Source organism: Homo sapiens, chromosome 16, assembly GCF_000001405.40.
Source record: "Homo sapiens chromosome 16, GRCh38.p14 Primary Assembly".
NCBI classification, from domain to species: domain Eukaryota; kingdom Metazoa; phylum Chordata; class Mammalia; order Primates; family Hominidae; genus Homo; species Homo sapiens.
Genome location: NC_000016.10, coordinates 3,452,664 through 3,466,416, shown reverse-complemented (window position 1 = coordinate 3,466,416; position 13,753 = coordinate 3,452,664). Strand labels below are relative to the sequence as shown.

Genomic DNA, 13,753 nt, shown 5'->3' with positions numbered 1-13,753 from the left:
TGAGAGCAAGCCATCTCCTCAGCATCCCTGGCTTCTTCCAAAGTGTCAGAGCAGCAGAAAAATGAATCATTTGCCGGGTGACAAGAAGCAAACACCCACCACTCTATTTCCAAACAGCCTCTCTCTGAAGACCATCATGTGCCGAGGGGAGCCCGCAGAGTGGCCGCATACAACTCGATGCATATCTCTTCAAGGACAGAGGAGTGACAATGGAGGATTCTGTTTTTATGACACTCTGGAACTGGCCAAACAAATTGCCGGTGCTGGCACCCAGAGTGGTGAAGGCGGAGCTGAGAAGCGCGATGGCGATGTGCTACGTCTTGTTTCACAGTTGTCAAAACGTACGGATCTGCTGGGTGAAGCTGTGCACTTGGCTGCATGTTAATTACACCTCAGTTAACAGCAGCAACGGCCACAGGTGTTCCGGCAAGGTCCCGGGTCCTGACTCAATCTTCCCTGGGTTGAACGTTCTGTCACGCCTTACATTTCAAACTGAGAATCCATTTAGTCATTAATTTATCGCAATTGCATTGAAAATTCAGGCCCTACCCTGGGTATCGGGGTCTCAGCAGTGAGCAGAGTCAGATTCTCTGATTATATGGGGCGGACATACCAGGGTGTCATGGTGCTTTCTGGCACCATTACCTAAGTACTCACAAAACCCACTGCTTTTGCTAGAGGAATCTCACGGCAAACATGAAAAGTGCCATCCCCTGGGCTGAGCAGGGATGCTCCCCCACCGCAGGGGTCACACAGAAGAAGGCAGGGATCCATCCCTCTGCATCCTCCTCGAAACTGCACCCAAGACACGCAGGGTCCCCCCAGAGAGGAAGCTGTCTGAGGTTGCTGTACTAACCCCCGTCTGCAGCCTGGGGGACAGCACCTTCCCTGCTCTTGAGCCAGGGCTGGATTGTGGTGGGGGCAGCCGGAAGGACGACTCACCTTTTGTGGCCCCACTCAGTCAGTGTCAGAAGTGGCGATGACAAGGACGAAGAAGGGATGAGGAAGAACAGAGACAAGAACATGACCCAAGAGAAGGACAGAACGCTAAACCGGGGACCAGAAGATGTGCTGCCAAGATGGGACCCCGTGGCTGCCTCTCTTGCTTCGGATGAGTTTCCTTTTTTCTTTTCTTTTTTTTTTTTTTTTTGAGACAGAGTCTCGCTCTGTCGCCCAGGCTGGAGTGCAGTGGCAAAATTTCGGCTCACTGCAAGCTCCGCCTCCCGGGTTCACGCCATTCTCCTGTCTCAGCCTCCCGAGTAGCTGGGGCTACAGGCGCCCGCCACCACATTCGGCTAACTTTTTGTATTTTTAGTAGAGACGGGGTTTCACCCTGTTAGCCAGGATGGTCTCAATCTCCTGACCTCATGATCCACCCGCCTCAGACTCCCAAAGTACTGAGATTACAGGCTTGAGCCACTGCACCCGGCCCCTTTTTCTGAAATAGAAAATTGGGGTGAAATGAGCCTCTGCTACCAGATCTCACATTCCCACTGAAAGAGCAGCTTGAGACAACTGAGGTGTGGGCTGGACGGAGCCAACAGGGTGGCTGCCAAAGCATCACCTTTGTCCCAGCGATGCTTTCAGCTGGGATCTTGCAGGCAACCGCCTGATAGGTTGTGCCTGGAATATATTTCCTAACTCAGATTGAGTGAATGGGTCAACCTGTTTGGTTTAAAAACAAAACAACAACAAAACTACCTGTAAATAATACCAGGTTTGGGGGCACATGGGAGTCAAATGATAGTAAAACGTATTTACTTGAACAGCATTCTTGACTAACACCCAAGACTGGACCCTGTTTAAGGCTCAACCAAGAATCTGTCTGTTCTCGGAGAGAAAACTTAAGGCTACAGGAAACCCTCTGTACCGCCTAGGAAGCAGCGGGCGAGATGGACACAGCAGCTCCTCAGTTTAAAAGGAGAAAGCCCAGCAAGAGAGGGTCGGGTTTCAGAGCACTTCCTGTCCCCACTTGCCCCTCCCTGGCTTCTTCCCTTTCCCTCACCATCTGCTGGGTTTTGTTGCCTTTTTGCTTTTTACTCTCTGCTTCTCTGGGTTTGCACTTAAGATCCTCTGGAATCAAATAACTATCAAATATAAATCTAGCTGGGCGTGGTGGCTCACACCTGTAATCCCAGCACTTTGGGAGGCCGAGGCAGGCAGATCACTTGAGGTCAGGAGTTCCAACATGGGGAAACCCCATCTCTACTAAAAATGCAAAAATTAGCCAGGCATGGTGGCTGTAATCCCAGCTACTTGGGAGGCTGAGGCAGGAGAATCGTTTGAACCCAGGAGGCGGAGGGTGCAGTGAGCCGAGACTTCATCACTACACTCCAGCCTGGGCAACAGAGTGAGACTCTGTCTCAAAATAAAATAAAATAAAATAAAATAAAAGTAATCCAAATTTCTGCCTGAATCTGCCCCAGCAATTGCAGCAGACGGTTCCATTCTGTATCACTTGTTTCTGTATTACTGGATCTTTTTTTTGCAATAACCTTGGGTTGTTTTCATTGTCAGAAAAAAGTGAAGATGTTGTATGTCAAAATGACGAACACACACATAGATTTCTTTCTCTAAGAGACAGGATCTCACTATGTTGCCCAAGCTGGTCTCGAACTTTAGGGTTCAAGGGATCCCTCAACCTCAGCCTCCCAAATAGCTAGGATTACAGGCACAAGCCACCAAGTCTAGGTTGAATTTTTTTTTTTTTTTTAAGTAGAGACTGGGTCTCCCTATGTTGTCCAGGCTGGTCTCCAACTCCTGGACTCAAAGGATCCTCATACCTCAGCCTCCCAAGTAGCTGGGATTACAGGTCTCAGCCACTGCATCCGCGCCAGCTTGCATTTTTTTTTTTTTTTTTTTTTTAACACAGGGTCTCACTCTGTCACTCAGGCTGGAGTGCAGTGGCACGATCTTGGCTCACTGCAACCTCCACCTCCTGGGCTCAAGTAATCCTCCTGCCTCAGCCTCCGCAAGTAGCTGACAGTACAGACATTAAGTTACTACACTCAGGTAATTTTTGTTTTTTTTTTGTAGAGACGGGGTTTCACCATGTTGGCCAGGCTGGTCTCTAACTCCAGAGCTCAAGTGATCCACCTACCTCGGCCTCCCAAAGTGCTAGGATTATAGGCATGAGCCACCGGGCCCGGCCTCAGCTTGCATTTTTATATTAAAATAACCTCACAGGCTGCTTTTAGTTAGCAACAGCTTGGGTATTTAATAGTGTGTTTTCAAATTATGAGTAGTGTTACCCATTTTGCTCTAAAATAGACTCAGCGCTGACTCTGAAACTCTGTGCCTTGGAGTAGCATGGTGTTTTGTGCACTCATCCCGGAAATAAATGTTCTAAACACAGAGTCAAAGTCGCAAAGAAACAAAGAGGAGGCTGTGGACAAGGGAGGCCAAGCAGCCTGTATTCCTACATAACCATTAAAGAACAATTTGCGTGGCTATATAAAATCTAATTTTAAAAAATATTTAGAAATTTTAAGACAACCATTTCAAAAAAACATTTAAAAAAGGCATTTTCCTTTTCTTGAGTAAGGGGAGTCCTTTCAGGCCTTTGTTTTAAATTTGTCAAAGCAACCCATGTTCATAGTAAAGTAAGAATTCATGTGCAACACAAAGCAAAAATTCCGAATCCTGTATGCGCCCCATCCCTAGTATAATTACTATTAGTGGTTTCTTGTGCTTACAACAAGAAAAACGCTTTTCTTAATAGAAGAGGGCTTGCCTGGTAAGGGGGCCCATGGGTCTTCTGGCGTTGGGGATGTACAGGTTATGTTCATGCCATGTCAACTCATCAAGCAGTGCACTTTTCTGTGTGTATACATCAATGAAAAGGTTAAAAACGGGAGGCCAGAGGAGATGCAAAGTAATCTGAAACTAAGTAGAAAGAGAAGGGCAGCAAGTGACAGACTAGCAAGACATTCTGAATGTAACAGACTCTGGAAAGAATAATCTCTGAACAGTTTACAGCAGGAGTCAGAATGAGCTATCTTCTAGAAAGAAATAAGAATGGAACAGCATTCAATAGAACACCCATGAACACCAAAGGAATGAGGGAAATATTGTTGCATTAACATTTTCCAGAAAAGAGCCCTTTTTGGTACCTAAGGGAGAATTACCCAACTACTATTTTATAAAATGAAATTATTTTCTTCAATAGTTAGTTGTTTTCAAGATGGGCCCCAGTGTCAATACTTTGCTGGCCAAATCGACCCTATTTCAGGAATACAGTAAACAAAAAAAGAGAAATGCCATTTGCTTTTTAATAACAGTAACTATACCACAAAAAATAGCACTGAAAGGTTTTTTTTTTTTTTTTTTTGATATAAGGTCTGGCTCTATCACTCCGGCTGGAATGCAGTGGCACCATCTCAACTTACTGCAACCTCCACCTCCTGGGCTCAAGCCATCCTCCCACCTCAGTTTCCCAAGTAGCTGGGATGACAGATGCGCACCACCATGCCTGGCTAATTTCTGTATTTTTTTAGAGATGGAGTTTTGCTATGTTGCCCAGGCCGCTCTCGAACTTGTGAGCTCAAGCGATCTGCCCACTTGGCCTCCCAAAGTGCTGGGCCCCTGTGCCTGGCCAAGAATATTTTTTTAACATGGTTTGTCAAACACGAGAAAATGCCTTTCTTTTGTTTTTCTGTGGAAGCAAAGGGAACATTTCTCAAACATTTGTTCTGCATGTCTGTCCACAACCACCTCCTCTTCATTGCAACTTTAAATCTTTGTTTAGAATGTTTATTTCTGGCTTCAAAGCACAAAATACATGCTATTCCAAGTGTATGGGGGTTTAAGAGTCCATTTTGGGGCAAAATGGATAATAATTTCACTCCTAACTTGAAGAGACATTGCAACATCTCTAAGCTGTCGCACTCATAGCCAGTTCTCGCGATGGCTTCTCCCTGGCTGAGATAGAGATGGGGAATCCCGTCTGAGCTGCTGACAAGGTGGGACTAGGGAGTGGCCCTTGTTTGCTTCCCTCTATCTGACCATCTCAGCTTAGAGCTGTGGCACCTTGGGGTGACTGGCACCTCTCTGCCCACCTCCGCAGGGGGGCACTCTGGCTCCATTAAGCAGCATTCACTGTTGACAAGGACCCCAAACCACTTCCTGCAGAAAGCCCTGGCTCCCCCGGTTCAGACCCCCTTCCTATCACTCCCACAAGCACTACGCAAATGCCTTAGTGTTCATAGCAGAATGTTAATCCTATTATATGCCCGTTTGGTTTTCAAACACAGGTCTCTCTTTAATCAGCAGTGTAAGATATTTGGGCTTCTGATAAGTCCTGAACTGTCCTGCCAGCCTCCTATCAGAGGTCATGCTAAAAAGAATGATATAGAGCCTGGCAAACTCACTCCTGTAACCCCAACGACTGAGGAGGCTGAGGTTGGAGGATGGCTTGAGGCCAGGAATTTGAGACCAGCCCGGGTGATACAGCAAGACTCCGTCACTAAACATATATACATACATACATATCAAAATAATGATATGTAGGGAAGGAGTCCTGATCCTGGATCATTCTTTGCACTTCAAGGCACTCACAACTATTTGCTGAATCAAATTCGGCATTTGAACTTAGCCAGAAAGAGACAAAGGACTTTCAGCATCTTTTTGCAGATCAGCATTTTACTTGAAAGCACTTCACATGGACATAAGCAGAACCAGCTTCGATGCAGGGTCCACACCCCAGCCTTGCTTTCTGCAAACCAGGAAAAGAGGTGTAAAAGCCATGAGGGCGGGCTGGATGCAATGGCTCACGCCTGTAATCCCAGAACTTTGGGAGGCTGAGGCGGCGGATCACTTGAGGTCAGGAGTTCAAGACCAGCCTGGCCAACATGGCAAAACCCCGTCTCCACCAAAAATACAAAAAAATTAGCTAGGCATGGTGGCACATGACTGTAATCCCAGCTACTCAGGAGGCTGAAGCAGGAGAATCACTTGAGTTTGGGAGGTGGAGGTTGCGGTGAGCCGAGATTACGCCACTGCATTCTAGCCTGGGCGACAGAGTGAGAACCTATCTCCAAAAAACAACAACGACAACAAAAAAACAAAAACAAACAAACAGTCATGAGGGCTTCGTGGATTCCTTCCAAAAAGAGATGGATAGGGGAGATAATGGAGATGACGCAGATGTGGAGGAGCTGCCATTTAAGAAAACAGTGTCTGATAAACAGCCAGCTTTCTATTCAAGTGAGAGATGTCACCAAGCAAATGGGACCTCTGGGCTATTTCAGCAGAGCAAGGCCATGCACTGCCCTAACTCAGAGGGCTGAAGCCTCTTCTCTGCATCTATCTGTTCCCTATGGCTGCAATGTGACCATTCTGGATTCTGTATCCACCTCGTCTAACCACCGCTAACAGGTACACCCCGTCTCCAGTTACGAGCACCCAGTTAGCAAGAACAGGGCACAATCCCTCCTGGTCTCCTTTTAGGTGTAAGTATCTTTTATCATTCAAATCTCCTCACATCCAGGAACTTTCTTCCATTCTAATCTGAAGCATGCTGTTGCTAAGCAACCCAGATAAGTCACATCTAAAGATACTCTCCATACTGTCCCGGCCTGGTCAAAACAAACACGGCAACAAAGTCACTTCAAGTTACAACCAGGAGAGGCTAAAGATAGGACGGACACAGACCTTTTAAAAAGCTGTCTGTGTGTTTTATTCTGGCATGCTGATACCAGACCATGCCTTGACTTTGCTACTTTCAGTGTAAACCATTGTCACAGAAACCCACAGTGTCTGCAACTTCAGTAAGATGAAACTCCAGCAAACCACAGCCCAATCATGCACGCCCCATTCTCCAAGGGCAGATCTGCACATTAATGTAGAAAATCCCACAAGAAGGGAGATGAAGACTAGCCTTCACTGCTGTGATGAACCTGTCTGTTTGGAAAGATAACTGGGACTTATACAGCAGTCTCCCTCGAGTTTCTTCTGGTCTTTAATCTCACCTTCTCTAACTGAACTTAAAGCAGTTCACTGATATGTGTGTATTTATTTGTTTTTGCCCCAGATGCTTTTTAATTCAAAGATGTTGAAGACTCCCCCTCTCCCTGCCTGTGAACACTGACCCATATATCATAGAATTTCTACATCACAGTGCTACATGGACTGCCGCATTTCTAGAGTCGACCTTTGGAGTCACATGACTTTCATGGTTCACTCAGTTAAGCATTAACTAAGGGTTTTATGCCTTCAGTGCCCTGGTAAAAGGCAAACATCTGTACACGGCAATGTTCTCTCCAGTTCTGGCACTCTGATTACCACTCCAGATACCAAAGCGAACTACTCTGTTGGGCTGTTAACCTTTTCTTTCAAGATAAATGAGTGACACAAAAGTGTACGCCTCAAGGACTTGGCAGAGTGAAAACAAACCCACGAAACGGCCAATGTCCACGTTTACTGCAGAGTACCCCTTGCCTGATGTCCAGACCCTGGGTCCTGTCTCCGTTTGGGCACACAGATTTGTGGGTGGTCGTCCAGAGAAGGCCCACCACTTACCCCCAAATTTTCCCAGCAGGACAAACCACAAAAGCTACAGATTCCCTTTACTCCCTGGGAAGTACCCAATCTGGAGAAGAAAGTCGGAGCTGGGGGTGTGGGTTCTGTAGGGCCGGTCTGTAAAGGGCCAGGAACGTAAGGAATTTGTCTTAACAACGAAAGCTGGGAGAATAAGACTAGGAGGAGACCTAGACGGAGCCCCTGGCTTTCAGGAGTTCAGAGGAGGGCAAACAAGTCGCAGATGACTCCAATCGGCGCAACAAGTACCAAAACAGGCCCTGACCAGGCCAGGCGAGAGCGGGGCGAAGGCGGAAATCGCTGACCCGACGGAAATGGCCTGGCCCTTCACCTCGCGCGACACCCCACAGGGTACCCATGAGGACCACCCTCTAGTTGCAAATTGTCCCGACCACTCATCGCGGGGTCGGACACTGACGCAACCCCCAGGCAGAAGGCCCGACTCCCACCCAGCATGAGAGCCGCGACCTCCTCAACCCTCGTCCCTGGCCAGCGCCCACTCCCCGCCGCCGTCCCCGAAACCGGCTCCCGGGAGGACCGTGCGCCGGGGGCGCGGGCGCGGCCGGGCCTGCCTCACCAGCGCGCTCGTACCCGGTGGGCGCTGGCCCCCCTGACCCCGGCGCGGCCTCCCCGCCTACCCCGCCCCCTCGGCGCCCCGCCGCAGGTCCGAGCCCCGGCGGCCGCCCCCCGCCACCTCACCTCGTGGGGGAGCCGGCGGCCGCTGGGGGTGTTGTAGGGCTCAGCGCATCCTGGAGGCGAAGGGAGCCGGGAAGTGGGACCGCGCGGAGCCCGCAACGAGTTATGTAACCGGCAGGGGCCGCAGCCGGGACGGAGGCGGCAGCCCGCGGCACTTCCGCCTCCCGCTCCCTGCCGGCAGCGCAGCCCGGAAGCCCATTGGCCGCCGCCCCCACGTGGCCCCGCCCCCTGAGGCCGGCGCTGCCGCCATGTTGGGAGCGGGCAGGTTGGGAGCGGGCAGGCTCCGTGCGAAGCCAGGCCCAGGATCCCGTATGCGGGGCACTGGTGAGGGCCGGCTCCTTCCCTGTCCCTCGCTCCGGGAGGTCGCCGAGACATGGCCGGCCAGACCTCTGGGCTCCCCGGCCTAGCGTGTGCGGACGCCGGTGGCGCGGTTTCCGGGCCGAGGTCCCGCGGCTCTACCGAGTGGCCCCCCCGCACAGGCCCTGGCAGGCGCATCCTAAGCTCGCGAGGGCCTGCAGCGCCGGGGCTGGCCAACAACTGAAAGCAGGTGCACAAGGCTGGCTCCTGGCCGACCACCCGGAGCCAGCTGGCAGCACCACCCCGCGACGACACTGGATTCTCAGCCGTCCGATTCTGGCGAAAGGCAGTTTAGGGCTGTCCCTGAGTAAAACAGGCAACTTAAGCTGCCCTCCGGTTGTAGGGGTTCTATAATGCAAGATCTAACGCGAAGTTTTTGTTGTTGAGACAGGGTCTCTGTCTCCCAGCCTGGGGCGCAATCTCGGCTCACTGCAGCCTCCAACTCCTGGCCTCCGCCTCAGTCTCCCAAGTAGCCGAGACTACAGGTGTGAACCACCATGCCTGGCTAATTAAAAAACAGGTTTTTTGGGTTTTTTGTTTTTTTGTAGGGATGGGAATGTCATTATGTTGCCCAGGCTGGTCTTGAACCCCTGGCCTCAAGTGATCTGCCCGCCTGGGCCTCTTAAAATACTGGGATTACTGACGTGAGCCACCACGACCAACCTGGGCTGTATATTTCAACTCCGAGCTTTCCAGAATCCAATTTGAAGAGAACTGGTTATAAGATTCGAGTCTTGGCTGGGTGTGGTGGCTCACGCCTATAATTCTAGCACTTCCGGAGGCCGAGGTGGGTGGATCACCTGAGGTCAGGAGTTCCAGACCAGCCTGGCCAACATGATGAAACCCTGTCTCTACTAAAAATACAAAAAAATTAGCCAGGCGTGGTGGCATGTGCCCATAATCCCACCTACCTGGGAGGCTGAGGCAGGAGAATCGTTTGAACCCTGGAGGTGGAGGCTGCAGTGAGCCGAGATTGCGCCACTGCACTCCAGCCTGCGCGACAAAAGCAAAACTCCATCTAAAAAAAAAAAGATTTGAGTCTGCGTGTCAAACTGTCCCCTAGTATCCATTGTCCTACTCTGCCATCTTCTCCTTTTAAAAAATAACTGCTTTATCATCATCTAGTAGTAACAGAATCCCACCCCCTTCAGCAGGCAGATCACTGTCAAGCTAGGCTTTTATTTCTCAGCCTCTCCTGCAGCAGGATCAGGCTATGTGCCAAAAGTTTCACCAGTGAACAAGAGAGAGCACAATGTTGGCAACTTCTGTGTCATGTGCTTAAAAGAATATTGCTAAATTGTTAACAACTGGTGAAGCGCATTATTCTTTCAAAAATTGAGGAGGTTTGAAATTTTCAAAATAAAAGATGGGGTTAAAAAAAAAAAGGAAATTGCTCGCTCTGTACTTCCTCTCCCCTTTCCCACTGGCTAGAAGATGGATGCCGTGGGGAGCCCAATCAATCATAAAAACAGGCAAAACTCAGGTGCCTGCTACTCAGTGCAGTCTGCGGTCCAGGAGCAGCGGCATCACCTGGGAGCTTGCTAAAAATGCAGAACCTCAGGACTCAGTTGGACTGAGTCAGAATGGGCACTTAATTCAGAATCTGCATTCAACAAGACCCCCATGTGAGTAACAAGCACAGTACAGTTTGAAAAAACACTCCCTAAGTAACAACAGAGTAACAACATTCTATTGTTTCCACGGGGTGTGTGTTTGTTTTGAGACCGTGCCCGGCTGTTTCCAGGGTTCTAAATACAGCACCGTTAAGATGAACTGGCAAACAGAACAGCATGTACATCCCTTCAAACTTTACTCTTTTTTTGGGCAGGGCGCGGTGGCTCATGCCTGTAATCCCAGCACTTTGGGAGGTCAAGTCGGGTGAACCATGAGGTCAAGATATCGAGACCATCCTGGCCAACATGGTGAAACCCCGTCGCTACTAAAAATACAAAAATTAGCTGGGCATAGTGGTGCGTGCCTGTAATCCCAGCTACTAAAAGGCTGAGGTGGGAGAATCGCTTGAACTCAGGACGTGGAGGTTGCAGTGAGCCGAGATCGCGCCACTGTACTCCAGTCTGGGACAGAGCAAGACTCCTTCTCAAAACAAAACAAAACAAAAAAACCCAAAACTTGGGCCGGGTGCAGTGGCTCACGCCTGTAATCCCAGCACTTTGGGAGGCCAAGGCAGGCGGATCACGAGGTCAGGAGATCAAGAGCATCCTGGCTAACACGGTGAAACCCCGTCTCTACTAAAAATACAGAAAAATTAGCCGGGCGTGGTGGCAGGTGCCTGTAGTCCCAGCTACTTGGGAGGCTGAGGCAGGAGAATGGCGTGAACCCAGGAGGTGGAGCTTGCAGTGAGCTGAGATCGCGCCACTGCACTCCAGCCTGGGTGACAGACAGAGCGAGACTCCGTCTCAAAAAAAAAAAAAAAAAAAAAACTAAAAACTCTTTTTTGGCTATGCCCGGTGGCTCATGCCTGTAATCCCAGCACTTTGGGAGGCTGACGCGGGTGGATCACTTGAGGTCAAGAGGTTCGAGACCAGCAGACCAGCCTGGCCAACATGGTGAAACCCCATCTCTACTAAAAATACAACAACAAAAAAAAATTTGCTGAGCATGGTGGTACATGCCTGTAATCCCAGCTATTCGGGAGTCTGAGACATGAGAATGGCTTGAACCCGGGAGGCCGAGGTTGCAGCGAGCCGAGATCGCACCATTGCACTCCAGCCTGGGCAACAAAGTGACAGTCTCAAAAAAGAAAAAAATACTCCTTTAAAACACAAATGAGAAAATAACTATTTCTCCACGGCTTATGTGTGAGGCATTGTGTTAAACATGTTATGCAAGATCTCATTTATCTTCACAACGGTTCATTCGGTTAGGCACCATGTGTCACTACAGGAGATATTCAAGGTTATTTGTACACTAAAAAAACTTCCACCCTTTCTCTTTGTGTTTGTGGCACAGACTCTACCCCTTGTTCCAGTGTGTTCCCTAACTGGTTTAACCCATTAAGGTCATCCCATTCTCCCTTGGCTCTGTGATGAGTTCAGAGGACCCCTGCCTAAGCAAGTCAAGCAGAGGGACATCTGCCGGTCACAGGGATGGTTCAGGAATGGGTTGATCACCATCGACTTCAGGGCTGATTGGTCCTCCACCTCTTTGCTTTCATGGTTCCTTTCTCTCTCTCTTTTTTTGCTGTGTTTGAGTGTTTCTTCCACTTGATCTAACAGGCTACTCAGTTTGTGCTGACCATTCTCTCCTTCAGTTTATCTATTAAACTTCTGATTTTTTTTTAAGCTTTTTGGTTCCATAAAGTTTTGCTATAATTGAATCTCTCGCAGAAATTCTGTTTCACCAGAACTCCTTATTTATGAGAGTCTGTCTGCTCCTTCTCCCTCTGGCTCTAAGGCCTCTTCCAGCATATTATCGCTTTTCTCTTGCCTATTTACTCATGCCTCCTTTCACCCTCTGGCCATGGGTCTAGCACAGACACCTAACGGCACTCCCAGTGGTGGGAAGCCAGCAGGCTCCTGCAGTGTAGCGACATACCAAGCTGCCAGGTCATGGCACTTGCCTGTATCCTAAATTCCTGTATCTTCAGCTGCACAACCCTCTTTCAGCCTTGGAGATAGGGAGGCAAGCAGGCTTCTCTGGCCCAGGTAGAGCAACAAGCTACCATCTACACGGTCAGCCTCTGCCCTTCCTCTCTTAAGTCCCATGAATCTCCAAGGCCAAGACTGCTCCTGAAATTAAGTCATTTTAATTTTCACCCTAGGCCTCTTTCCGACAATCCCCAGGCTCTCATTTACCCATAGAGGAACTAAGTCCAGTATCCAACCCCAGGTGATTCCAACCACCACCTCCCACAAACCCATGCCCTGCTCTGGATCCTGGACACCAATGGCCCTACGCAAGCTCTATTTGGGAAAGGTAGTAGATGGATGGGGTTGGGGTGGGAGGAGAGCAGGGACTGGGGATCAGGTTTCCCCACTGAAACCTACACATTCAGGTCAAAAACAATATTGCAACTTACAATCTTGTACACAAATCTGCATACGTTCTGATTATTTCCTTAGGGAAAATGCCTAGAATGTTGGTTCAAATTATTATTATTAGCTGGGTGCAGTGGCTCACACCTGTAATCCCAGCACTTTCGGAGGCTGAGGCAGGCAGATCACCTGAGGTTGGGAGTTCGAGACCAGCCTGACCAACATGGAGAAACCCCATCTCTACTAAAAATACAAAATTAGCCAGGCGTGGTGGTGCGTGCCTGTAATCCCAGCTACTTGAGAGGCTAAGGCAGAAGAATCGCTTGAACCTGGAAGGCAGAGGTTGTGGTGAGCTGAGATCATGCCATTGCACTCCAGCCTGGACGAGAGCGAAACTCTGTCTCAAAAAAAAAAATTTTTTTTCATGATTTCATTATTGGAGACAGAGTCTCACTCTGTTGCCCAGGCTGGAGTGCAGTGGATCTTGGCTCAATGCAGCCTACACCTCCCAGGTTCAAGCGATTCTCTTGCCCCAGCCTCCTGAGTAGATGGGACTACAGGTGCATGCCACCATGCCCAGCTAATTTTTTGTATTTTTAGTAGAGACAGGGTTTCACCATGTTGCCCAGGCTGGTCCTGAACTCCTGAGCTCAGGCAATCTGCCTGCCTCAGCCTCCCAAAGTGCTAGGATTACAGGCGTGAGTAAAATTATTTTTAATTAACCACATTTAACTTTGGAAACAAACCCTAGATTGCCTGCCAGAAAGTTTTACCAATTTATTCTCATACCAAGAGTGTGAAGACTCTACACCCACTATAGCAGGGCAAACGGCCCGCAGCCTCACCAACATAGGGGATTAGTCTTTTTTAATTTTTTTGAGACAAGGTCTCACTCTGTCACCCAAGTTGGAGTGCAGTGGCATGATCACGGCTTACTGCAGTGTCGACCTCCTGGTCTCAAGTGATCCTCCCACCTCAGCCTCCCCAGTAGCTGGGACTACAGGCACGTACCACCACACCCGGCTAATTTTTCATTTTTTTGTAGAGACAGAGTCTCACTATGTTGCCCAGGCTGGTCTCGAACTCCTGGTGCAAGTGAGCTGACCACCTTACCTCCCAAAGTGCTGGGATTACTGGTGTGAGCCACCATGCTCAACCAAGCATTCTTT

General features: G+C 49.3%; 1 protein-coding gene across 9 annotated transcripts in view, besides 8 other annotated features; it reads right to left on the bottom strand.

The window, feature by feature from the left end:
- NAA60 (N-alpha-acetyltransferase 60, NatF catalytic subunit) overlaps window positions 1-13,753 on the bottom strand; it is a 43,353-nt gene that overhangs the window by 20,547 nt on the left and 9,053 nt on the right. For 7 of the 9 annotated variants that reach the window (NM_024845.4, NM_001083600.3, NM_001317096.2 and 4 more), the window contains exon 1: window positions 8,236-8,372. The exons of the other annotated variants lie outside the window; for them this stretch is intronic. The gene's annotated coding sequence lies outside the window, so the exon portion shown is untranslated. Of the gene's footprint in view, window positions 1-8,235; window positions 8,373-13,753 lie in introns of those variants that run through there. 9 annotated transcript variants of the gene reach the window in all.
- Window positions 979-1,148: an enhancer, noted in NCBI's record as "experimental_43338 CRE fragment used in MPRA reporter constructs". NCBI's record gives its function as "activates a minimal promoter by MPRAs in K562 erythroleukemia cells, with activity observed for the introgressed 16:3515354 variant allele {active_cell/tissue: K562}" and the evidence as "EXISTENCE:reporter gene assay evidence [ECO:0000049][PMID:34662402]".
- Window positions 1,556-1,725: an enhancer, noted in NCBI's record as "experimental_43335 CRE fragment used in MPRA reporter constructs". NCBI's record gives its function as "activates a minimal promoter by MPRAs in K562 erythroleukemia cells, with activity observed for the introgressed 16:3514777 variant allele {active_cell/tissue: K562}" and the evidence as "EXISTENCE:reporter gene assay evidence [ECO:0000049][PMID:34662402]".
- Window positions 1,753-1,922: an enhancer, noted in NCBI's record as "experimental_43334 CRE fragment used in MPRA reporter constructs". NCBI's record gives its function as "activates a minimal promoter by MPRAs in K562 erythroleukemia cells, with activity observed for the non-introgressed 16:3514580 variant allele {active_cell/tissue: K562}" and the evidence as "EXISTENCE:reporter gene assay evidence [ECO:0000049][PMID:34662402]".
- Window positions 5,917-6,086: an enhancer, noted in NCBI's record as "experimental_43330 CRE fragment used in MPRA reporter constructs". NCBI's record gives its function as "activates a minimal promoter by MPRAs in K562 erythroleukemia cells, with activity observed for the non-introgressed 16:3510416 variant allele {active_cell/tissue: K562}" and the evidence as "EXISTENCE:reporter gene assay evidence [ECO:0000049][PMID:34662402]".
- Window positions 5,917-6,192: a biological region, named in NCBI's record as "Neanderthal introgressed variant-containing enhancers experimental_43328 and experimental_43330".
- Window positions 6,023-6,192: an enhancer, noted in NCBI's record as "experimental_43328 CRE fragment used in MPRA reporter constructs". NCBI's record gives its function as "activates a minimal promoter by MPRAs in K562 erythroleukemia cells, with activity observed for both the introgressed and non-introgressed 16:3510310 variant alleles {active_cell/tissue: K562}" and the evidence as "EXISTENCE:reporter gene assay evidence [ECO:0000049][PMID:34662402]".
- Window positions 8,021-8,770: a silencer, noted in NCBI's record as "silent region_7135". NCBI's record gives its function as "represses an Ori minimal core promoter by ATAC-STARR-seq in GM12878 lymphoblastoid cells {active_cell/tissue: GM12878}" and the evidence as "EXISTENCE:reporter gene assay evidence [ECO:0000049][PMID:35858748]".
- Window positions 8,531-8,700: an enhancer, noted in NCBI's record as "experimental_43326 CRE fragment used in MPRA reporter constructs". NCBI's record gives its function as "activates a minimal promoter by MPRAs in K562 erythroleukemia cells, with activity observed for both the introgressed and non-introgressed 16:3507802 variant alleles {active_cell/tissue: K562}" and the evidence as "EXISTENCE:reporter gene assay evidence [ECO:0000049][PMID:34662402]".